The sequence below is a fragment of the Homo sapiens genome, chromosome 6, assembly GCF_000001405.40.
Source record: "Homo sapiens chromosome 6, GRCh38.p14 Primary Assembly".
Classification (NCBI taxonomy): domain Eukaryota; kingdom Metazoa; phylum Chordata; class Mammalia; order Primates; family Hominidae; genus Homo; species Homo sapiens.
The window spans coordinates 160,742,476-160,767,343 of record NC_000006.12 but is presented as its reverse complement, the minus strand read 5'-3'; the positions used below and the strand labels follow the sequence as shown (position 1 = coordinate 160,767,343).

General features: G+C 39.8%; 1 protein-coding gene across 1 annotated transcript in view, besides 2 other annotated features; it reads right to left on the bottom strand.

Moving 5' to 3' along the window:
• Positions 1 to 130: a silencer, noted in NCBI's record as "silent region_17764". NCBI's record gives its function as "represses an Ori minimal core promoter by ATAC-STARR-seq in GM12878 lymphoblastoid cells {active_cell/tissue: GM12878}" and the evidence as "EXISTENCE:reporter gene assay evidence [ECO:0000049][PMID:35858748]".
• Positions 191 to 300: a silencer, noted in NCBI's record as "silent region_17763". NCBI's record gives its function as "represses an Ori minimal core promoter by ATAC-STARR-seq in GM12878 lymphoblastoid cells {active_cell/tissue: GM12878}" and the evidence as "EXISTENCE:reporter gene assay evidence [ECO:0000049][PMID:35858748]".
• Positions 13,247 to 24,868, bottom strand: part of PLG (plasminogen) — a 51,905-nt gene continuing 40,283 nt past the window's right edge. The window contains exons 18-19 of the mRNA NM_000301.5: positions 15,084 to 15,229; positions 13,247 to 14,444 (exon numbers count right to left, since the gene is read on the bottom strand). Coding sequence (NP_000292.1) covers positions 14,283 to 14,444; positions 15,084 to 15,229 — 308 coding nt within the window. The 3' untranslated portion in view covers positions 13,247 to 14,282. The remainder of the gene's footprint in view (positions 14,445 to 15,083; positions 15,230 to 24,868) is intronic.

Sequence of the window (24,868 nt, the reverse complement as noted above, 5' to 3'; positions counted from 1 at the left end):
GGAGGATACTGATGCTTCTGGAGTGCGCGAGGGGCCCCGCAGGACCGGGGCCCGCAAAGGCGCGGGCACTGGGCGGGGACGCGGGCGCGGCGTGGTGCCGGGGCGGGAGGCGGAGGGGTGGACGAGGGGTGGACGAGGCTCGGGTGGGCTGACCCCTTCCCGCAGGGCCAGGATGGCCAGGGCGAGGCCGCCGGGAAAGGCAGGACCCTCGCCCCTACGCCGCCAGCTGGGCTTTTCTCCTTCTCGCCAGCTCCGTGTTCCAGGGCGCGATCTCGCTCCGTCCACCCGCCGGCTCTGGGGCTGAGCCTCAGGTAGGTGGGTCGGAGGTCCTGTGAGAAGTGAGGGTTGAAGGCGTTTCTGCTTCCAAGCGCAAGCACGGGGAGCCCGGATGCTCCAGCCCCTGGACCCTGGATTAGAAACTGGCAAGGGTAGATGTTTTGCAGGAGGTTGCCCTCTGCCTTCCTCTGTTCTAACACCTGCTGGATTCAGGGAGTCCTAGTACCTGTATTTCTGACCCGAAAAACAGAACAGCAGAACATCCAATGTGATGGGTTAGGCCTCCTTAACGTGCCTCGTTTGACTTTGTAACCTTCCTTCCACAGACTGATCTTTTTCGTGCAATTGATGTGATCCTGTGTCAGCTATACAAAACAATTTTTGTTTACTGAATCTGGTTTAAAAGGCAAGAAGTTGCTTCCCATAGGGCACATTGATCCCTGGTGGAAAGGGATGTGTATGCCCTGAAACATGGAGAGTCATATGCGCTGCTTGGTTTTGTGTAGATTAAAGTAACATGAGATGATGTTTTCACTGATTTTCAGAATTATGGAGAATTCACTTAGGAAAATATATGTTTCAATGCATGACCAATATGGGTATTTACTTTAACTGATTTCACAGAAGCAGTGCTCCTGTTTTGAGACACACAGATTTTATTTGGTGCCTCTTTATGGTATGATCAATTAGCTGCTTACTTCATAAGTTATGTGGAGTGGGGAAGGTACTTCCTGTTTTCTCTTTAAATGTCTTTTCTCTGATTTGAAGAAGTAATAAAGGAGAAATCTTTTTGCAGTGTTTAACTTTTATCCTCCACTATTCTGAAGTTCAAGCTTCAATAATTAATATAAATACAGTAAAATTAATACTTTAAAGGTAGCTGATATGCTTAATAACCAGAAAATATTTCAATTAAAAAAATTCCATTCCATCTAGTGTTTTGACCCATATGATACATATGCATACATGTGTAAAAGTGTATATATATTCATACGTATATGAAAAAGATACTATGCACTATACTGAGTTTATACTTTTATTGTGCATCACTAAGACCGTTTTTGACTTTAAAAAGTAGATTATGTAGACCTGCGAAACAAGCAACAAAAATGAAAACACTGCACTTTTTTGTGGTTCTCTAAACACACAAGAATAGTGGAGGTCAGGATCCATGCTGTTGGCCAGGCATTAAGTTGGCGTTATCAGCAATCACTGTAGTGCCAATGAATGTGAATTCCCCACATGTCGTGCCTTGGGAATTGCTCCTTTGACTAGATTACTGGCTTGAGGTTGTCGCTGTTGTCTTTCCTACAAGAGTAGAAAACAAGCGCACAAAATTGGATTTAGGTAAATGGAAATTTAATGCAGTCACAGCAGTGCCCCACACAAAGAAGGCAATCAACAAATGCAGCCTTGATAAGGGTCCCTCCCTAGGCCAGTCGTCACCTACTCCCTCTGTTGGATGACAGCCCTCCGGTATCTGCACTCAGTTCCCACGTTCCCGAAGCTTCTCTTCTCAGACTACGCAGCGCCCAGAGCTTCAGGTCTCTCCATATCCTTCATCAACACTTCCTGAAAGTGTGAGACCTTGGAGAAGCCCATGTCCTCCAGATGTGGCCAGGAGAGCTGAGACAGAGCCCTGGGGTCCTTTCTTATCAACCCTTGGTTGGGGTGTCCTAGTTCTGTAAATTCTACAAATAGCCATTTTTAAAAATACCATTCATTTTACACCAGTAGCTCAGCTGTCCTGGGTGAGCTCCACACCCTCAACTCTGTAGCTGATTACATAGTTCATTATTACATTACCCAGTCTCAGGTATTACAGCAATGTGAGAACGACTAACACACCTATGGACTTCCCACCTGGGAATATTAGGATTTAACTCCTTTTAATGCACCATCAACATCAAAACACACACCACACACATGCCACATATACACACATCCCATATATACACTATGCACACACACACCACATACACCACAGACACGATGCACAACACACAGACACAGCATACGCACCACATACCACGTACACACCACACTGTACACAACACACATACACACCATAAACGCCAGACACACTGCACACACCTCACACCATACACACACCATACACATACCACACACACACCACAAACATCATACATACTACATACACACACACATCCTTTTGCTATATGTACCTAACATAATTATGTAATTATATTGTAATTTTGGTTAAGTAAATATTCAGTGTTCATATTTCTTCATGACTATGAAAATGCTATTTATAACTGAGGCATGTAGTATACTCTTATATTTCTCCCTAGAATTCGTTGTTTTCTTTTCTGTAAGATTTTATGTCATTTTTCTAATTCTACTCCAAATTCTCAGTTTTATAAACCTTTTCAATATGCCCCCAAACCCATTAGGCCATCTAGCAATGTTCTTAGAGAGAGCTTCTCAGGAGCCATCGTCCCTGCTCTGGCCTGGCCTGGCCTGGGTGCACGGCCGGCCTGCTGTCCATCTGTCGTGGGATCTCCATGGACTGTCATCCAGAAGATCCCCTTGCCTCTCTGATATTTGATCCCCCATTTGTTGAATCTCACATCTTCCTTTTTCAAAAAAATTACTTCCTCATTTTGCCAGAGCAAATCTCTGTATCTGATACTGAATGAAATCTAGTATCATCCTTAGAATACATGGAAGGTATTTTTTAATTGAGAAATTCCCATAAGAATATTAACCATCTTAAAGTGGACAATTAGTTTTATGTAGTACACGACAACCACCACCTCTATCCAGTTCCAAAACATTTTCATTACCTCAAAATACAATGCAGTACACAGTAAGCTATTACTTTCCATGACCCCATCCCAGCCCTTGCTTTCAAGGTTTAGCCATGCAGCATGTACCAGTGCTTCATTCCTTTTTGTGGCTGTATAAGCCACAATTTGTTTATCCCCTCGTCTATTGATTGATATTTGGGTTGTTTCCAGCTTGTGGCTTTTGTAATAGTGCTGCTATGAACCTTCTCATGCAAGGTATCTGGGTACTTGTTTTCAATTTTTTTGTCTATATACCTAAGAGTAGAAGTGTTAGATCATATGGTAATTCTATGTTTACCATTTTAAGGAACTGCCAAATTATTTTCCACTGTGGTTGAACCATTTTATATTCCCACCAGCAATGTACAGGATTCTAATTTCTTTACATCCTCACCACCACTTGTTATTCTCTATTTTTTAAATTATAGACATCCTAATGCATATGAAGTCTTATTTCATTATGACTTTATTGGCATTTTCTTAATGACTAATGATGTTAACCATCATTTCATGTACTTGTTGACTATTTATATATCTTTTTTGGAAAAATGTCTCTTTACATTCTTGTTTTTCTTTTTGTTGTTGAATTGTAAGTTTTTTTTTTTTTTCTCCCATTTCTCTTCTTGTTTGCCCAAAGAATACTGTGCTGGCAGTGAGCTGCACTGCTGCACTTTCTTTTTTCTAAACAAGAAATGGGTTAAGTGATGGTGGTCTCACCCTGTCACCCAGGCTGGAGTGCAGTGGCCCAATCATAGCTCACTGCTGCCTTGAACTCCTGGGTTCAAGTGATCCTCCTGCCTTGGGCTCCCAAAGTGCTGGGATTACAGGTGTCAGCCACTGAGCCCAGCCTAGAGATTTTAATATATTCTGGATACCAGGCCTTTGTCAATAGATTTGCTTCATCAGTAGGTTTTTTCACTTTGTTGATTATGTCCTTTGACACATAATAGCTTTTAATTTTTTTCATTACTCTTCAATTGTTTTCCAGTTTTATTGAGATACACTTGACAAAAATTGTATATATTTAAGATGTACAAGGTAATGTTTTAATATAAATGCACATTGTGAAATTATTACCATAATCAAGCTAATTAAAGTATTCATCATCTCACATACTTTTGTGTACATGGTAAGAACACTTAGGATCAACTCTTTTAGCAAATTTCAAGTATGCAATACAGTATTGTTAACTGTAGTCAGCATTCAGTTCATTAGATTTCCAGAACCTGTTTATCTTGCAAAACTGCACATTTGTATTTTTTGACCAATATCTCTCCATTTCCCTCTTCCCCAGCCCTGGTAATCACCATTCTACTCCGTTTCTAAGAGTTCAACTTTCTTAGATTCCATATGTAAGCTTACACAGTATTTTCCTTCTTTGTCTGGCTTATTTCACTTATCATAATGTCCTCCAGGTTCATCCATGTTGATGCAAAGGCAGGGTTTCCTTCTTTATTAAGGCTGAATAATATTCCATTGTGTGTGTGTGTCTGTATATAAGACACAGACACACACACACACAATGTGTATATGTGAGTGTATATATATATATAATATAAAAATGTGTGTATAACACAGACACACACATATGGATACACACATTTTTATCATCCATTTATCCTTTTATTTATTTATTTGTGTATGTTGAACTATCCTTGCATTCCTGGGACAATTCCCACTTGATCATGGCGAATGATCCTTTTAATGTTCTGTTGGATTCCGTTTCCTAGTATTTTGTTGAAGATTTTTGCACATATGTTCATCGGGGATATTGCCTGTAATTTTCTTTCCTTACAGTATTCTTTTTTGTGTTTCATATCAGCATAATGCTGTCCGCATAAAATGAACTTGAAAGCATTCCCTTTTCTTTAACTTTTTGGAAGAGTTTGAGGAGGATTGATATTAGTCCTTTTAATGTTTGGTATGATTCAGCAGTTAATTCAGGTATGATTAGGTCCTGGGCTTTTTGTTGATGGAAGTTATTACTGATTCAATCTTATACTTATTGGTCTGTTCAGATTTTCTATTTCTTTCTGAGTCAGTCTTGGTAGGTTTTTCACTTCTAGGAATTCATTCATTTCTTCTAAGTTATCCAATTTGTTGACATATAATTGTTCACAGTAGTCTCTTATGATCATTTGTACTTCTGTAATATCTATTGTAATGTCTCCTCTTTCTGATTTCATTTGAGTCTTCTTTGTTTTTCTTAATCTAGTTAAAAGTTGGTCAATTTTTTTATCTTTTTAAAAACCGTTAGTTTTCTTTCTTTTTTTTTTTTATCATTTTTCTGGTCTCTACTTCACTATTTCTATGGTGATCTTTATTATTTCTTTCCTTCTACTAACTGTTGGGTTAGTTTTTCTTTTCTTCTTTGTCTATTTTTTTGAGGAGTAATGTTAGGTTGCTTATTTGATATCTTTCTTCTTTTTTGATGTAAGTGTTTATTGCTAAAAGCTTCCCTCTTAGAACCACTTTTGCTGCATACTATAAGTTATTGGTATGTTAGTGTGCCCATTTTCATTAGTTTTGAGTTTTTAAATTTATCTTTTAATATCTTCTTTGATCATTGATTGTTCAGGAGCATGTTGATTAATTTCTATGTATTTGTGGATTTTCCAATATTCTCCTGTCATTGATTTCTAGTTTCATACAATTATAATCTGAAAAGAATACCTGGTATGATTCTAATCTTCTTAAATTTGTTTACTTGTTTTGTGACCTAACATATGATCTATTGTGGAGAAAGTTCTATGTGCACTTGAGAATAATGTGTATTCTACTGCTGTTGGACAGAATGTTCTATATATTTCTGTTAGGTCCATTTGGCCTAAAGTGTAGTTTAAATCTCATGTTTCCATAATGATTCTCTGTCTGGAGCTATTGAAGTCTGCTACTATGGAGCTAAGTGGAGCTATTGAAGTCTGCTACTATGATTATAGTACAGTCTAGCTCTCCTTTGAGAACTATTAATTTTTTTAGTTGTTATACGTAGGTACTCAAATTTTGGGTATATATATTAATAAGTATTTATAATTGTTATAACAAATTGATCTCTTTATCATTATGTTATGATCTTCTTTGTCTCTTTTTACAGTTTTTGACTTAAAGTCGTTTTTTTTTTTTTTTTTTTTTTTTTTTTGAGACGGAGTTTCGCTCTGTCGCCCAGGCTGGAGCGCAGTGGCGCAATCTCGACTCACTGCAAGCTCCGCCTCCCGGGTTCACGCCATTCTCCTGCCTCAGCCTCCCGAGTAGCTGGGACTACAGGCACGCGCCACCATGCCCGGCTAATTTTTGTATTTTTAGTAGAGACGGGGTTTCACCGTGTCAGCCAGGATGGTCTCGATCTCCTGACCTCGTGATCCGCCCGTCTCGGCCTCCCAAAGTGCTGGGATTACAGGCGTGAGCCACCGCGCCCGGCCTTAAAGTCGTTTTACCTCATGTAGATTCAGTTTCCCTTATCCAAAATTCCTGAAACCGGAAGTGTTTTCAATTTTGAATTTTTTTGGAATATTTGAATTATAATATGGTTTACTTTTTTAGAATTTTGAAATTTTTTTTTATTTTGGAATATTTGCATTATGATATAGTTTGGCTGTGTCCCCACCCAAATCTCATCTTGAATTGTAATCCCCATAATTGCCACATGTCAAGGGAAGGACCCAGTGGGAGGTGATTGGATCATGGGAGCAGTTTCCCTCATGCTGTTCTCATGAAAGTGAGTGAGTTCTCATGAAATCTGATGGTTTTATATGTGTTTGACAGTTCCCCCTTCACACACTCACACTCCCTTCTGCCACCTTGTTAAGAAGGTGCCTGCTTCCCCTTCACCTTCTGCCAATATTGTACATTTCCTGAGGCCTCCTAGCCATGCTTCCTGTTAAGCTTGTGGAACTGAGTCAATTAAACCTCCTCATAGTTACCCAGTCTCAGGTAGCATTCTTTATAGTAGTGTGAGAATGGACTACTACACATTATATATTTACTGTTTTAGCATCCCTAAAGACCAAAATCCAAAGTGTTCCAGTGAGCAATTCCTTTGAACATCATGTCAGCACTTAAAATTTTATTAATTTTGGACTATTTCAGATTTCAGACTTTTGGATTAGGGATACTCAATCTGTATAACTACACCTGCTCTCTTTTGGTTTCCATTTGCATGGAATATTTTGTCCATCCCATTACTTTCAGTTTATTTGTGTCCTTATAGGTGAAGTGAGTGTCCTGTAGGCAGCATACAGTTGGATCTTATTTTTTAGTGTATTCTACCTCTGTATATCTTTTTATTGGAGAATTTAATCCATTTTCATTCAAGATAATTATTGATAGGTAAGGGACTACTGTTATCATTTTGTTAATTGCTTTCTGGTTGTTTTGTAGACTCTTTGTTCCTTTCTTCCTGTCTTGCTATCTTTCTATGTGATTAAGTGATTTTTCTCTAGTGGGATGCTTTGATTCCTTTTTATCTTTTGTATATCTACCTTATGCTTTTGCTTTGTGGTTACCATGATGCTTACAAAAAGTCTCATAATTATATCGGGCTATTTTATGCTGATAACAACTTAATTTTGATTGCATAAAAACTCTGTGCCTTTACTCCACATCTCCCTGCATTTAAAATTTTTTTATGTCACAATGTATATCTTTTTATAGCATATATCCCTTAAAAAATTATTGTAGCTATTATTTTCAATAGTTTTGTCTTTTAACCTTCATGCTAAAGATATAAGAGATTCATTCTTTCATATTACAGATATATGTGGCCACCATTAACGTATTTGAATATTATGAATTTGACTATGTACTTACTTTAACCAGTGAGTTTTATGTTTTCTTTTTTGTTACTAATTAGCATCTTTTTTCATCTTGCAGACTCCCTTTAGCATTTCTTGTAAGACAGGTCTGGGGTTAATGAACTTCCTCAGCTTTTATTTGGTAAAAACTTGATATCTCCATTTCTGAGGCACAGCTTTGGTGAATGCAGTATCCTTATTTTGTAGTTTTTTTCTTCAGCATTTTGAATATATTAACCTGCTCTTTCCTGGCCTGTATGGAACCTGTTGAGAACTTTGCTGCTAGCCTTACTGGAACTCTGTTATATGTGATTTGCTTCTTTTCTCTTTCTGCTTTTACGATTTTCTCTTTGTCTTTATTTTTGACAGTCTGACTTTGCCTTGATGTAGTTATGTTTGAACTGAATTTAGTTAGAGACTTTTGACCATCTTGGACCTGGATGTTGATATCTTTCCCTAGATTTAGAAAGTTTTCTGTTATTTTTAAAATAAGCTTTCTACCCCTTTTTTTCTCCTTTGTGAACTCTTATAACTAAAATATTTGCACTTTTCATGCTGCCTCATAAGTCCTGTAAACTTTATTTTTTTACTATTTTTTCTTCTTCGATTCTATATTCACAAATAACCTGTCTTCAAGTTCACAGATTATTTATTCTACATGATGAATTCTGCTTTTGATGCTGTCTATTGCATTTTTCACTTAATTATTTTTCCAGTTTCAGAAATTCTGTTTGACTTTTTAAACAGTTTTAATCTCTCCATTACATTTCTCATTTTGGTCTTTTATTGTTTTTCTGATTTTATTGAATTCTCTGTATTTTCTTGAAGTTTACCAAGCTTTCTTCAAATAATTATTTTGAAATCTTTGTCAGGTTGTTAATATATCTTTATTTCTATGGGACCAGCTACTGGGAAATTATTGTGTCCTTTGATGGTGTTTTATTTTACCTCCTTGTTTTTTCATGTTTCTTGTTGTGTTACATTAATGTCTATGCATTTAAAGTAGGAACTGATTTTAGTCTCAACATTCATCAGTTTCTAGTTCATCTACTACATCTTCAGTATTACCTGTGTTCCTGAGATTGTGTCTGCTGCGTCTTTATGGTGGAAGCCACATTGATGGGGCTCCTGCATCTCTTCCTAGTGGCACAGGCAGGGATGTTGTGTCAGTAGACTGAAGGGCCCACAGTGGGAGCATTTACACCGTGCACATTGGCAGATGCTGCCAATCAGGGCTTGATTGTCCAAAGCCAGTTGTTAGGCATTTACTAGCACACCACTTGGATACAAATAAGTGGAGAAAATAGGAGAGGGTGGCTTTTCAAGAACTTTGGCTCTAAAGAACAGTAAAAGAAAGGATGGTAATGGAAGGATGAGGTGAGAATGAGAGAAGGCTGGTCAAACAAGAAAGATCTTAATGTGTTTGAAAGCTTCTCCCAATAGGTTAAAGATACTGGAGAAAGGGTTAATCACCATAGTGAGGCACCCAAAAAGACAAGCCTAGGTGAGCACTGGCCCTGGGGTAGACACCAAGACAATTCTTCCAGTGTAAGGTGACAGGTGGAATGGGAGGGAGAGGAGCAGGTAAGTGAGAGTGTCAGTGAGCAGGTGCAGAGGGGACTCCCCTCCAGCACTTCTGTTTCCCTGTGATGCAGGAGGGGAGGCCTTGGGTGTTGGACCCCGAGAAGGCACTCAGTCAATCACTGTGAGATGTGTGAGAGAACCCATGGCTGCCAGGTGTACAGGGGCCATAGCTCAGGGTTTGAGGAAGGGAGAGAACATTTGAAATCATGGTGAAGGAGAGCCAAGGCAGTGATCTGGGGTGTAGAGGTTGCTGTGGTTGAGAGCCACTCCAGTGAGTAACACGGTGGCTTCACAGTGAGGAGGCCTGTGGGGGAAGGCCCAGCTGTGTGTTCCTGGGGGCAGTAACACCTCTCCCCTATTCCGTAGGTACCCTGGCATCCATCTGTGGTGGCCTCGTGATGCTTTTGCCTGAAATCACGGGTATTGCCTTGCCAGAAACAGTGGATGATGTAGAAAAACTTGGCAGGCATTGTCCAAAATTCAATGCACCCTAAATAAAAGCAGCATTTCAAACCACTGGAGAAAGGAAGATGTTGAGAAAATTGAACATGCATGGGGAAAAAATAACAATAAATCCTCATCTTACATCGTAAGCAAAAAATTCAAAGTAAACATAAAATATTAATGTAAAAAATCCCACCAAAGCTAGATAAGAATATTCATTATTTTTTAAACATGATTGTGAAGAGAGAAGCATTTCCATGTAAGGTGCTAAGACTCAGAAGTGATCTAAAGGCAGGAACTGCTGACGTGGGAAAGTGGAAATCGCTGGGACGTGCAGCAGCAGGGGATTAACAGTGTGGCTTACTCTACAGAGTGAGGAGGCTGACGTCAGGTCTGTCTAGATGGAATGGCATAGGCAGGTTTTCAAGACTGATTACAAAGTGAAACATCACTCAACAATGTGTTAGAGTATTTATAAAAAACTAAAACCAAAGGCAGTCCCTCTCTGTAGCTGGATAGGAAGACAGATGACACACAAATGGTAGATAGGCAGATAATAGGTAGATGGATGATAGATGATAGATAGATAGATAGATAGATAGATAGATAGATAGATAGATAGACACAGATGATAGATAATGGGTAGAAGGATTGATGAATGGATAAATAGATAATAGATGATAGATAGGTAATAGAGGTAAGTAGACAGAGAAAAGAAAGAGAGATTGAGTTTTGGAGGCAAATAGTGTACAAGGAAAGCTAATATCCAGCCAATATATGAACATGAAGAGTTATATCAACAAAAATTAACATTACTGAAATCTTTATAAGTTTCTGTTTGACATTTTTCACTAAAAAAGACAGAGATATGAATATGAGAATTACAGTAAAAGATGTAAAACAATATCTGGGGACACAAATGGGCTGGGGAGATGGGTAGCGAAGGGAGGGCCATCACTTTCCTGTCAGAGACTTCTGTACTGTTTGATTTTTTTTTTTAAATAGAACACATAGTCTTGTTTTTTTGCGTAATCTTTAAAAATGATTTAACTGCTAACTTAAAAAATAAAAAGCAATCTTGATAATGAACTGGAAATTAAGGATATGGAACTCTAATGTTTTTTAATATTTCAAAAATCCTGAGGAAAATCTTTCTTCCCTTTGATTCTACTCCATTGACTGCTGCCTGTTTACACACTGAGAGTGATGCATTCATTCTTGATTCAATCAGAATTAGTCAGATTTGCAAACTCATCAGGAAGAAATGGAGGAAGAGGGAGTCCTTTGAGACCAGGACTCTTCTACCACATCAGCTGCATTAAAATTAAACAACTGGGAGAGATTGTTTTTGGCTGGTGAAGGGTGGTGGGGTGGTGCAGGATTGTCCCAATGGGGAGCAAGGAAAATCAATATCCAACTAATATATAAACATGAGGAATTCTACCAACAAAAATTTAAGTTACACAAATTCTAATTTTTTTCTGTTTATAAATTTTCATAATGAAAAGTTGGATAGATTAATTATACCTAGTCCCCACACTTGAAAAAATCTAGAAGTATGGTTTACTGTACTACAAATTAAGCACATTGATTGTGATCCATGGTTATTTACTCTAAAAAAACTAGTTCGTGCTAAATTACTGAAACCTGTTAGTATATTCCCTTCTAAAACTGCACTGGATTATTCTATCATTTCTGCTGGGTTCACATCAGCAGCTGATTTCCAAACATATGTTAATTCAGCAGAAATTCATAAAGAGCTTAAATACTGTAATGCTAACTAACCTCTGTCTAGGGTCTGAAAGCAAGTCAAAAAATTAGCCTGAAGTGATTTTTGTTACCTTTGAGTTGGGTTTTCATCAGAAGTTAGGTATGTGTATTTGATCAAAACCAGCTATGCTATTAAATAATAACAGAAGACCTTCCTCTAACTAGTTGCATAATCTTTCACGAAGACTTTCTCCTTTCTCCTTTGTTTTTTCAGTCCACATTCCTATAAGTGTGGCAGGAATAAAAAAACTCCAGTTTCCAGCTCTCACCTTTGAGGCCCCTGACAGAGGGAAGGAAGGAGCTATCCAGGAGCTGATCCTCCTTGCAAAGCTGTCCTTGCAGAGATGCACGTGTGCATTTCAGCTACATTATGCCACACTGTTGTAATACTGTATAAAGACCTCAATCTATCCAGAGTATTTTTATATAATGTTGGATGAGTTAGGATTATTTGTAGTGCTGTTGAAGTTTCTGGGAACACATAATATGTAGCTGGCTTAAAAAAGAGCCTCTCAGGTGCATGGCTCTTCCTGGTCTCTGATTCATTAGGCTAAAGAGAGACGAGAGAAGCCCCCCACCCGATTCTCATAACAGCTCCATCAAGAATGCAGGATTTGAAAACCAAGGATTTGGGAAATTTGTGCAGAAATGTTCATCAAATCTGATCAGTCAAGGGACTAAGCCCATAACCGAGCATTTGAAAAATTGCAGGGAGGATGAAAATTTGGGAATCCTGTTAATGAGGAGATTGAATCACAGGTTCCTGGGCCACAGAATGTGAGCATTCGTGTCCTCTGCTCACCTTGGTCTCCGCACGCCTTTGCAACATGAACAGGTCAGAAGTCTCTCCCATCTACCTTCTCTGTAGCATCTGGGGTTCCAGGCATGGTTTATGCCCCATTCCAGCAATAAGAACCAATCTGTTGTACAATCTGAGGTCTTGGTTCTGTTATTCATAAAATGATGCTGTGGTCCTGAGATTATTCGGGACATTTTTGGCTCTCCTTTAGTGGACACCTAGAGCCACAGATTTTCTTCTTTACTAAACAAATCCCATGGATTATGATTTCTGGGTCTTAGGATTTTAAAAATGAAGAGATATTTTTCATATATTTGTTAAGTTCAGTTCTGATGGTGCCCGTGGCCAAGAGTTAGAAACATGGACAGTTCCCATTCAGTCTTGGCACTTTGAGTTGTCTTGGGGAAAAGCTTACATTTTAATTTAAAAGAAAGGTCAATTATATCCATGCTTAACAGGATCAGCAGGAGCTTTATAAATGGCTTTACAGCGACTAATAAGGGCTTTGATCTTTCTTTTTTGTTATCGAGGCTTTTGAAATGTGGAACGTGTGTGTTCTGCTATGTATATTATATTCAATATCTTTTCAGATGCAGTCTATATTTTATGCTGAGCTTTTTAAATGAAATACTTTATGTGGACAGGCAAAACTGGTACCAAAGGGAATCCTTCAAAATGGGGAACAACATTTGTGTAAGGAGAACAGGTGACAACATATACGAAGTGTGTGCTAATTGTAAAATGAGAAACTTCATCCTTAAAGCACATCAGAATTGAATACAAATAATCTATTTGTCAATGAAATAAACACAGCTCTTTGAGGATTTGAGACTACATTCACCCTTTATTCACAGTCACTTGCAGTTTTGCTTTTCTCTGCATTTCTCTGCTGTAAGATGACTGTTGCATTGTTAAATTGTATTTTGAATGGATATTTTTGTTTGGTAACAATATTTTAAATGGTAAAACGTGTGCCTTTGTCCTTTCTCTTCCTTCTAAACATGTATCTCTCCCACAGGTCATTCTCCTGTGACCGTGTGTACTGCAGACTGTTTCAAAACCGGGCAGGCAATTAGCAATGGGAAATAAGTGGTCCACCTTCAATATTTGCTTGTTGTTCATTTACATGCTCTTGGCACCAATCCTAGACTCACGTGTGCCCCAGAATAACATTCAGACTCTCAGTTGGTCTTGTGTTACACATCCATGGACCGGTTCACTCCATCATATACAGCTCTCTGCTCCGTGTCCCCTGGGCTCAAGTCAAGCAGTCGGTGACAGATTTCATTCCCAATAACAGAATCGGTTTGCATGACTCCCCATACATGTTGCAGCTTTGAAAACATTCATCTCAGTGTCAGGAATAAAGACAGTAAAAATGCATGTCAAGCCCTCGTTAGCTGATGAGGTAAATGCGTGGACAACTTCTTGGCTCTCCCCTCTGTGACCTTGCAGCCTGCTCAGTCCTTTGTGCAGCTGTTCCTTATCAAAAGCAGCTAAATCCCCCCATCTGCCCATTTAAAAATTGGTGGGGTGAACAAAGAGCATGAAAATGTTGAAGACCAAAACCAAAATTTACTCAAATCAAAGTTAAGTACAGAGTTTATTTTTAACAAATGTCATAGCTATGTCACCTTACTACAGAATCCAGCAGTCAGAAAATAACACAAAAAATGCCGAGGTTTGGCGTAGCTGGTAGCTGGGGACAGTGTCTTCGTTTGATTACTGCCAGTTATTTCCAGCATGCTAAATCCCTACCCACGTTCCAGCCTCTAGGTGAGTCAGTGCGTCACTCTGTCTCCCGTCCAATTAATTATTTCTCATCACTCCCTCAATCCAAGTAACAAACCTTGAAACACGAACATAGACACCAGGCTTATTGGGGCGTGCACAGCCAAGACCCCAAGAAGTGACTCCTTGTAAAATGTATTTGTCCTTCTCGAAGCAAACCAGAGGACCTCCACTGTCACCCTATACAGAGGGAGAGAAAAATGCATGTGAGGGTTAGGCTGCCTGCCTTTTATTATGGGATGCCATCCTTCTACTATCCATATATACATTTTCCCAGTAATTGAAATCAGAAAGGAACTTATGAGCATATTACTCAAGCATCTGCAGTGCTTAAGTACTTAGCAAAATCTGTTTAGCGAAACCACACCACTTAGTTTTTCCGGGGGGTAGAAAAGATCTTTTGTGAATCCTGCACACATCCCTTCCTATGTTGGTGTTTCCTTTAGACTGGGCTAGCCTGGGCATCAGTGTAAAGTGTGTGCAGTTGGTCTCTGTCCTGTATCCTCTACCTCCTTCCCTACCGGAAAAGTCACCACTTTAGTCCCTGGCCACCAGCACACCCCAGGAGGGTGAGTGGCCTGAGGTAGTTATGGCACTTAAAACTCGCTTGCTACTGATTTGGAACTCAAGCCCCAAGACATCCCCTTAGATGATCTGAATACGCATTCAGGGACAGATCTAGGAAGTTTCTAAACAACACTTAGACTGGGGTCTTCGGTTGAAAATCCTTGAATTTGCCACCTGGGGAATGAAGTCTGAGGGGCTGAGACTGAGACAAGAGAGCACAAGACTAACTTTGGTCTCTTGATCTTTGCTTACCTGGCAACTGTCAGTGCCTCCGGCCAAATGCCCAGCACAGAGTTCGGTGGATTGGACTCTTCCATTCAGAAACTCATAGCGATTGCACACTTTATTCTCAATCACAGGGAGCTGGGCTTCCTTGAGAAGGCCAGCTCCAAAAGTACCTGTGTTTAAAAAGATGAAAGAAATGGCAACTGCACCCAAAACACATTCAGGAGGATATTCCAGAACAGAGCAGCGGCACTGGACCTCCTGTCTGTGAGGCTGCAGAACACGAGGCAGCTCCCAATGCCGCTGGAGTCTCTGACCCTGCAGAGTGTAAACATCATATATGATTCTGTGTTCCTGAGCCCTGGAATTAACAATCTGGGCTTTGTCGTGTTGGTTTGGGGTTGGTTGTTGTTTCTTTACTTTTTGCTTTTAAAACTATAAAGAATAATGTTTAAAATGTAGAGTCTGAAAAATGCAATTGCTATTTTTATATACTCTTTTTTCAGATGTTTTAATATGCTTCTTTTACTAATTACATCATAACACAAAATTTCACATCTTGATTTTTTCACTCATCATTGTGTCATGAGTTTTGTATAATGCTATGATCTTCATAACTAATATGTTAAGGGGAGCTACTGCTTAATGAACATGAGGTTTCCTTTGGGAATGAGGAAAATGTTCTGGAAATATGATGATGGTTGCACATGATTGTGAATGTACTAAATGCCACTCAGTGGTACCTTCCAAAATGGTTAAAATAGTAAACCTTATGTTTTGTATATTTTATTGCAATAAAAAAGAATAGTCATCATTTACCAAGAATTAACCTTTCCAGACACAAGCTTATAATGCGATGTATCTCACTTAATCCTCGCAATAGTCCTGTGAAACAGGCACTTTTATCATTTCTGTTCTACTGTTAAGGAAACTGAGGCGTAAGGAGGTTGTGTAGTTCAGCCTGAGCCTGGGTCTGTGGAGTCACTGCCCAAATGCTTCCTCCCCATGCGTGTTGGCCCCACTCTTGCTTCCAGCTTTCCACATCTTTGTTCATAAAGTTCATTCTTATTCCTTAACATTTTCTGAGTCTAAGTTCCCATAAATTACATAGACATATTTCTGTCTCCCAATAACGTTGCCAAATTATTTTCTAAAAGGGTGTGACAGTGTACCGTGCCACTAGAAAACAATCACTTCACCTCACTTGTATGAGTCTTCAATTTTTAAAATATTAGCTAATCTAATAGGTTGAAATTGTCCTGATTCATTTTCTAATTTACACTTCTTTGACAATTAGGGAGAGTGAACATTCTAGTTGTATTTCTGCCTTTGTGAAAAACTGCTTTATTTTCTTTGCCAAATTGAAATAGAATGTCTGCAAAATTGCCAGAGAAAATGCCGTTTTTCCAGATAGACATGCCCAGGGATGTCTCAGTGTCGTCACAAATAATCTAGTTTTCCAATTTTGCAAGCCCAGGTTTCATTAAAATTTTGCAAAACTCTTTGCTTTGCGAGCATGACACAGGTAAGAACCGAGGCACTCTCTCTTTCCCCAAAGCCTTCGACTGCATTTAGATCATTGTCTCGGGTTCAGAAAACCGACACTGAATCTGGAGTTTACATGAGCAGCATGGAAGAGGCTCATCCCAGCGCCTGGCTCCAGAGCCCAGCTCAGCCCTATCTGGGCAGAGCTGCAGGGAGGAAGCTCCTCTTGACTACCAAGCATTGGGCAGTGGGTGCATCACCTGGACTGTGTAGTTGTGTGAGGGAGCACCCTTCTCAAAATGTTTTGCTGAAAATTAAGTTAGGTGTCACTGCTCTGGGATCTGCTCTCTGAGCAAGGCAAACACGCTGATAAGGGGGAAAACCCACCATGAGTTGCTGGGAAATTGATGCAATCTGTGAGTAGGTGCTGCCTTCCAGTGGTAGATGTAGAGATGGCACCTCTGAGGGCAGAAAGGCCACAGGTGACCTGAGGATTGAAGCCCTCCCCGATGGGGCGTTGGGGAGAGGGCAACAGGGAAAGTCCAGCAGCAGGATCAGCTCAGTGATTGCAGATGATGGCTGACCTGGAAAAACCCCTTGGCCTCAACACCTCCAAACTCTGCGTTTGGAATATCCAAGTCAGGGAACATCTGGAAACATGAAGGGAAGAGCAGGAGAATTTCAACTTCCCTCTGAGAAGCAGAGAACACCCATTGCTTCAATGTCATTATTGACATGTAGAAAATTGAGGAGCAGGCCTGAGTTATGTTTTGTGACTCATCCTGGTGGTTGGCGGTGGGACTGAAGAAACAGTGAGTGGGCTCTGGGCTCAAGGTCCAGCTACAAACTGGTTATGTGATGTCTATTGTTAATGATAGTGATGGTGGTGGTGGTGGTGGCAGTGGTGGAATGGTGGTGATGATGAGGGTTGTGATAAGGGTGGTAGTGATGGTGGTGGTAATGATAATTGTGCTGGTAGTGAAATGATGGTGACGGTGATGGTGGTGGGTAGTAATGATCATGGAGGTGGTGGCGGTGGTGATGGTGATGGTACTGGTGGTGGTAATGATAATGCTAATGGTGGTGGTAATCATAATTACTATCATGTTGATAGTGGTGATGATGGTTATGGTGATGATGGTGGTGATGGTGGTGGTAGTGGTGGTGGTGATGATGGTGGTGGTGATAATGGTAGTGATGATAATGGTGATGGTGGTGGAATGGTGGTGATGATGGTTGATAATGATGGTGATGGTGGTGATGATGGTGATGGTGATGTTGATGGCAGTAATGATGGGGGTGGTGGTGGTGGTGGTGGTGATGATAGTGATGGTAATGTTAATGGTGATGGTGGTGGAATGATGAGAGTGATGGTGTTGGTAGTGGTAGTGATGATGATGGTGGTGGTGATAGTGATGATGGTGATGTTGAGGGTGACAATGGTGGTGGTGGTAATGATAATTGTGATGGTGGTGGTGGTGATGATGTTGGTGGGGATGATGATGGTAGTTGTGGTTGCAATGTGGATGGTGATGATGATAATGATGATCATGAGGCATAATCTTAATCCTCACAATGACCTTATATGTTGGTACAGGTGAGAAAGCTGAGGCTAAAAGAGATTAACTAACTGCTCAATCTCACAAGGAAGATGGGAGAGCCAGAACTCACACACAGATCTTTATGATTTTAGCTTCGTGCTTTCATCAGTTGAGGAATTGTAGAGGATCTGTTTGCTTTTTGGCTGCCCAGCAGCCTATCACACTATATCCTATAATCCTGTTGAGGGAACTACACTTTGCCCCCATCTTGGTATGAGTGTGGTCCTGCGTCCACCTCCAGCATGGAACAGCTGATGCAGGTTGGAGTTAATCAGTGACGGGTTTAGGGGCAGGCTGGTGACACAAGTTCGACCTCTCAGAGCTGGAAGACTATTGTTTGTGTAATGGGGAGAGTGGCCTTCCTTATTTCTTTTCCTGGCAGAGCCAGAGCCACCACAGCATCTGCAGCCACGAGAATGTCACATTTGTGCCCAAGAATAATGGACAGGGTCTGGGGCCATGATGTGAGCCTGCAGAATTTTCAGTTCACTAATGATTTCTCTTTTTTGCTTAATCCAACTTAAGTTGCATTTTCTGTCACTTGCAAGAAAGAGTCATGTTAGATACAACTCTATTCCATATTATTATCAGGAGCTGCCATGATGGACTTCTTAGCATGTGCTTGGTGCTTGGTGCACTTTCTTATTGTTTCTCCCCCAATAGCCCTGCAGCCCACATTTCAGCTGAGGAAACAATCAACAAGAGTTCACAACCCACCCACCCTTCCTCCCTCCCTCCCTCCCTCCCTCCCTCCCTCCCTTCTTTCTTTCGTTCTCTTTCTTTCCCTTTCTTTCTTTCTTCCTTTCTTTCTTTCTTTCTTTCTTTCTTTCTTTCTTTCTTTCTTTCTTTCTCTTTCTTTTCTTCCTTCTTTCCTTCTTTCCTTCTTTCTTTCTTTCTCACATAGAGTCTCACTCTGTCACCCAGGCTGGAGTGCAGTGGCACAATCTTGGCTCACTGCAACCTCCACCTCCCAGGTTGAAGCGATTCTCCTGCCTCAGCCTCCTGAGTAGCTGGGATTACAGGGGTGTGCTACCACACCCGGCTAATTTTTGTATTTTTAGTAGAGACGGGGTTTCACCGTGTTGGTCAGGCTCGTCTCAAGCTCCTGACCTCGTGGTCTGCCTGCCTCGGCCTCCCAAAGTGCTGGGATTACAGGCGTGAGCCACTGCACCCAGCCAGAGAGTTTATGACTTTTCTAAGTCCTGACAGCCAGTAAATGGGAGCCAGGGTTCTAATTCAGGTTAGTCTGTACCATCCCACACATTCTCTGAGCCTCAGGCTCCTCATTTGTAAACTAGGAACAATAATATGTAATTCATAGAGGTTTGCAGCATTTAAATTTTTAAAAATGCAAAACACTGGGAGCAGCCTGGCACACCCATAGGTGTTCCTCCTTTGCCAAGGTTCCTTTTACTTGGCCTCAATGCTCCCAGACCCAGCAGTGCAGAAAGGGAGATCAAGAAATCAAGGAGGTAAAGTTTTTAAATAGTAGGAAAAGCACAGGAAAAGGAAAGCCACTTTGAAATCATCTAGACCATTCGTTTTTAAATGTTTGATTAAACCAAGAAAACAAAAACAAACCTTTCTTCAAATGAAAACTTATGCAAAGGCTGATGTGAAAAACACCACTTGAAAATGCTGGGTTTTTGAATGAGGGGTTAGAGCTGAGTGGTACAAAGAGGTAACGTGCCTAGTCCAGGTCTATCTAGCTAGTGGCAAAGTCAGAACACACTTCCAGGGCTTCAGACTCCTAATGCCCTCCTAGCACCTCTGAGAAACTGCAGCAGGGATCCTAAGACAGTCTTAGTGTTTCAATGGCCAAGGGGACTAGGCTGATGGATATAATTATTGTCAGGGCATACTGCAAAGAGAAGAAAGAATCCCTAAAATGTATTACAGGTGCTGATACCATATCCTGCACAAGTGTTCCCTCTCTTGTTCTCATCCACACCCATCAACCAATACCAAATGCCATCCTAGACCTGGGGCCATGGGACCTGTCCGCCTCTCCCCCAGTTGTAGGTCCCCTGTTTAACACCATCCCACTTACATTAGACATGTGGGTATTTGGGAAGAAGACTAGTCTAATTATAACTTTTGTTGTTATTGTTTTACATTGTGTTAAGAAAGCCAGTCTGGCTAATTTCACATGAAAAATAATCTAACACTCTTAACTTGAGGGCTGGGTGAAAACCCCACTTACCCAGGGAAGCATACTCAGGAATGCTGAAATTATGGATTAAGAGACTCAAAGACCTTTACTGTTTTTTTGCTTGTTTTAGGTGTAGGGAAATATACAAATAAAAAATGGATCACACCCCAAAGCTTCAACACCAAAAATACCTTGCTAACATACCACACTATGAAACCAAAGACAAGAAATCAACTACAAATAAAGACCCTGCACAAGGCTTTGGCCCTGTAAAAACATCCAAAGAACAAGTCTATTGGCTGTATTCAACCTACACTGCAGTTAAAGGAACATAAAGGCCGGAGTGCCATATGTCCTCCAAACAACCACACTAGTTCTCTAACAAGGGTTCTTAACAAGGCTGAGCTGGCTGAAATGATAGAACTGGAATTCAGACTATGGATAGGAATGAAGATCATCAAGATCCAGGAGGATGGCAAAATCCAATCCAAGGAAATTGAGGATCACAATAAAATGATATAGAAGCTGAAAGACAAAATCACTGGTTTAAAAAAGAACCTAATGGATCTGACAGAGCTGAGAGCTGAGAAACAAACTGTAAGAATTTCACAAAGCAATCCAAGTATTAATAGCAAAATAAACCAAGCTGAGGAAAGAATCTCAGAAATGGAAGACTGGCTTTCTGAAATAAGACAGTTGACAAAAATTAAGAAAAAAGAATGAAAAGGAATGAACAAAGCCTCCAAGAAACATGGGATTATGTAAAAAGGCCAAATCTACAAATCACTGGCATTTCTGAAAGGGATGGGGAGAAAGTAAACAATTTAGAAAACATTTCAGGATATTGTCCATGAAAACTTCTTCAACCTTGCTAGAGAGGCCAATAGTCAAATTTAGAAAATACAGAGAACCCCTGTGAGATTCTATACAAGAAGATCATCCTCAAGACACATAATCATCAGATTTTCCAAGGTCAAAATGAAAGACAGAATGTTAAAGGCAGCTAGAGAGAAAGGACAGGTCGTCTACAAAGGGAACCCCATCAATCTAACAGCATACCTCTCAACTGAACCCGTACAAGCTAGAAGATATTGGGGCCTATATTCAATATTCTTAAAAAATATCCACCCAAGAATTTCATATCCAGCCAAACTAAGCTTCCTAAGCAACAGAGAAATAAGATCATTTTCAGCTAAGCAAATGTTGAGGGAGTTGGTTACCACCAGAACTGCCTTACAAGAGATCTTGAAAGAAGCACTAACTATAGCAAGATGGCTACCAGCCAATACAAAAATATACTTAAATACGCAGACCAATGACACTATAAAACCATCACACAAACAAGCCAGCATAACAACACAATGAGGGCATCAAATTCACACATAGCAATACTAACCTTGAATGTAAATGGGCTAAATGCCCAACTTAAGAGGCACAGAGTGGCAAGCTGGATAAAAAGCAAGACCCACTGGTATGCTACCTTCAAGAGACCCATCTCACATGTAATGACACCCATAGGCTCAGAATAAAGGGATGGAGGAGAACCTACCAAGCAAATGGAAATCAGACAAAAAAGCAAGGGTTGCCATCCTAATTTCAGACAAAACAGACTTTAAACCAACAAAGACCAAAAAAGACAAAGAAGGGCATTACATAATGGTAAAGGGTTCAATTCAAAAAGAAGATCTACTATCCTAAATACATGTGAACCCAACACAAGAGCACCCAGCTTCATAAAGTTCTTAGAGACCTACAAAGAGACTTAGACGCCCACAAAATAATAGTGGGAGACTTCAGTACTCCACTGACAGTATTAGACAGATCATCGAGGCACAAAATTAACAAAGATATTCAGGACCTGAACTCAGCATTGGACCAAATGGATCTGATAGACCTCTACACAACTCTCTTTCCCAAAACAACTGAATGTACATTTTCATCACCATGTGGCACATACTCTAAAAATCAACCACATAATTGGACATAAAACAATCTTCAGCAAGTGCCAAAGAACCAAAATCATACCAAACACACTCTCAGACCACAGCACAATGAAATACCAGTCAAGACTAAGAAAATAACTCAAAACCGTACAATTACATGGAAATCAAACAACATGCTCCTGAATGACTTTTGGGTGAATAATGAAATTATGGCAGAAATCAGGAAGTTCTTTGAACTAATGAGAATAAAGATACAACATACCAGAATCTCTTGGACAGAGCTAAGGTAGTGTTAAGAGAGAAATTCATAGCACCAAATGCTAGCATCAAGAAGAAAGATCTCAAATTAAGAACCTAACATCACAATGGAAAAAATTAGAGAAACAAGAGCAAATCAACCCCAAAGCTAGCAGATGGCAAGAAATAACCAAAATCAGAGCTGAACTGAAGAAAGTCAAGACATGAAAATTCATTCAAAAGATCAACAAGTCCAGTAGTTGGTTTTTTGAAAACAGTAATAAGATAGGTAGGCTGCTAGCTAGGCTAATGAAGAAAAGGAAGATAAGACCAAAATAAACACAATTAGAAATGACAAAGGGGATGTTAGCACTGATGCCACAAAAATAAAAATAACCATCAGAAACTACTACAAACAGCTCCATGCACACAAACTAGAAAACCTAAAAGAGATGGATAAATTCCTGGACACATACACCCTCCCAAGACTGAACCAGGAAGAAATTGATTCCCTGAACAGAACAATAATGAGCTCCAAAATTGAATCAGTAATAAATAGCCTACTAACCAACAAAAGCCCAGGACCAGATAGATTCACAGCTGAATTCCACCAGATGTACAAAGAAGAGCTATGACCATTCCTACTGAAACCGTTCAAAAAAACTGAGGAGGAGGGTCTCCTCTCCAATTCATTCTATGAGGTCAGCATCATCCTGATACCAAAACCTGGCAGAGACACAAAAACAACAAAAAACTTCAGGCCAATATCCTTGATGAACACTGATGCAAAAATCCTTTACAAAATACTTGCAAACCAAATCCAGCAGCACATAAAAAAGCCAATCCATCGTGATCAAGTAGGCTTTATCCCCAGAATGTAAGCTTGGTTCAACATACATAAATCAATAAATGTGATTCATCACATAAATATAACTAAAGAGAAAACCCACATGATTATCTCAATAGATGCAGAAAAGGATTTTGATAAAATTTACCATCCTTTATATTGAAAACTCTCAATAAACTAGGTACTGAAGGAATATATCTCAAAATAATAAGAGACAGCTATGACAAGTCCACAGCCAACATCATACTAAATGGGCAAAAGCTGGAAGCATTCCCCTTGAAAACTGGCACAAGATAAGGATGCCCTCTTTCACCACTCCTATTCAACATAGTATTGGAAGCCCTGGTCAGAGCAATCAGGCAAGAGAAAGAAATAAAGGGCATCCAGATAGGAAGAGAGGAAATCAAACGATCCCTGTTGGCAGATGACATGACTCTATGTCTAGAAAACCCCATAGTCTCAGCCCAAAAGCTCCTTCAGCTGATAATCAACTCCAGCAAAGTTTCAGGATATAAAATCAATGTACAAAAATCACTAGCATCCCTTTACACCAACAACAGCCAAGCCCAGAGGCAAATCAGGAACACAGTCCCATTCACAAATGCCACAAAAAGAATAAAATATGTAAGAATACAGCTAACCAGAGAGGTAAAGATCTCTACAATAAGAATTACAAAACACTGCTCAAAGAAATCAGAGATGACACAAATGAATGGAAAAACATCCCATGCTCATGGATTGGAAGAATCAATATCATTAAAATGGCCATACTGCCCAAAGTAATTTACAGATTCATTGCTATTCCTATCAAACTGCCAATGATATTCTTCACAGCACTATTAAAAAACTACTTCAAAAATTTATATATAACCAAAAAGGAGCCAGAATAGCCAAGGCAATCCTAAACAAAAAGAACAAAGCTGGAGACATCACATTACCTGGCTTCAAACTATACTTCAGGGCTACAGTAACAAAAACAGCATGGTACTGGTAAAAAAAAAAAAAAAAAAAGACACGTAGACCAGTGGAACAGAATAGAGAGCCCAGAAATAAGGCCACACACCTACAGACATCTGATTTTTAACAAAGCTGACAAAAACAAGCAATGGGAAAATAACTCCCTATTCAATAAATGGTGCTGGGGTAACTGGCTAGCCATATGTAGAAGATGGAAACTGGACCCCTTTCCTTACACCATATACAGAAATCAACTCAAGATGGATTAAAGACTTAAATGTAAAATCCAAAAGTACAAAAATCCTGGAAGACAACCTAGGTAACACCATCCTGGACATAGGAACGGGCAAAAATTTCATGAAGATGCCAAAAGCAATCTCAACAAAGGCAAAAATTGACAAATGGGATCTAATTAAACTTAAGAGCTTCTGGACAGAAAAAGAAACTCTCAAGGGAGTAAAGGGAAAACCTAGAGAACAGGAGAAAATATTTGCAAACTATGCACCTGAAAAAGGTCTAATATCCAGCATCTATGAGGAACTTAAACAAATTTACAAGAAAAAAAAAACCCCATTAAAAAATGGACAGGG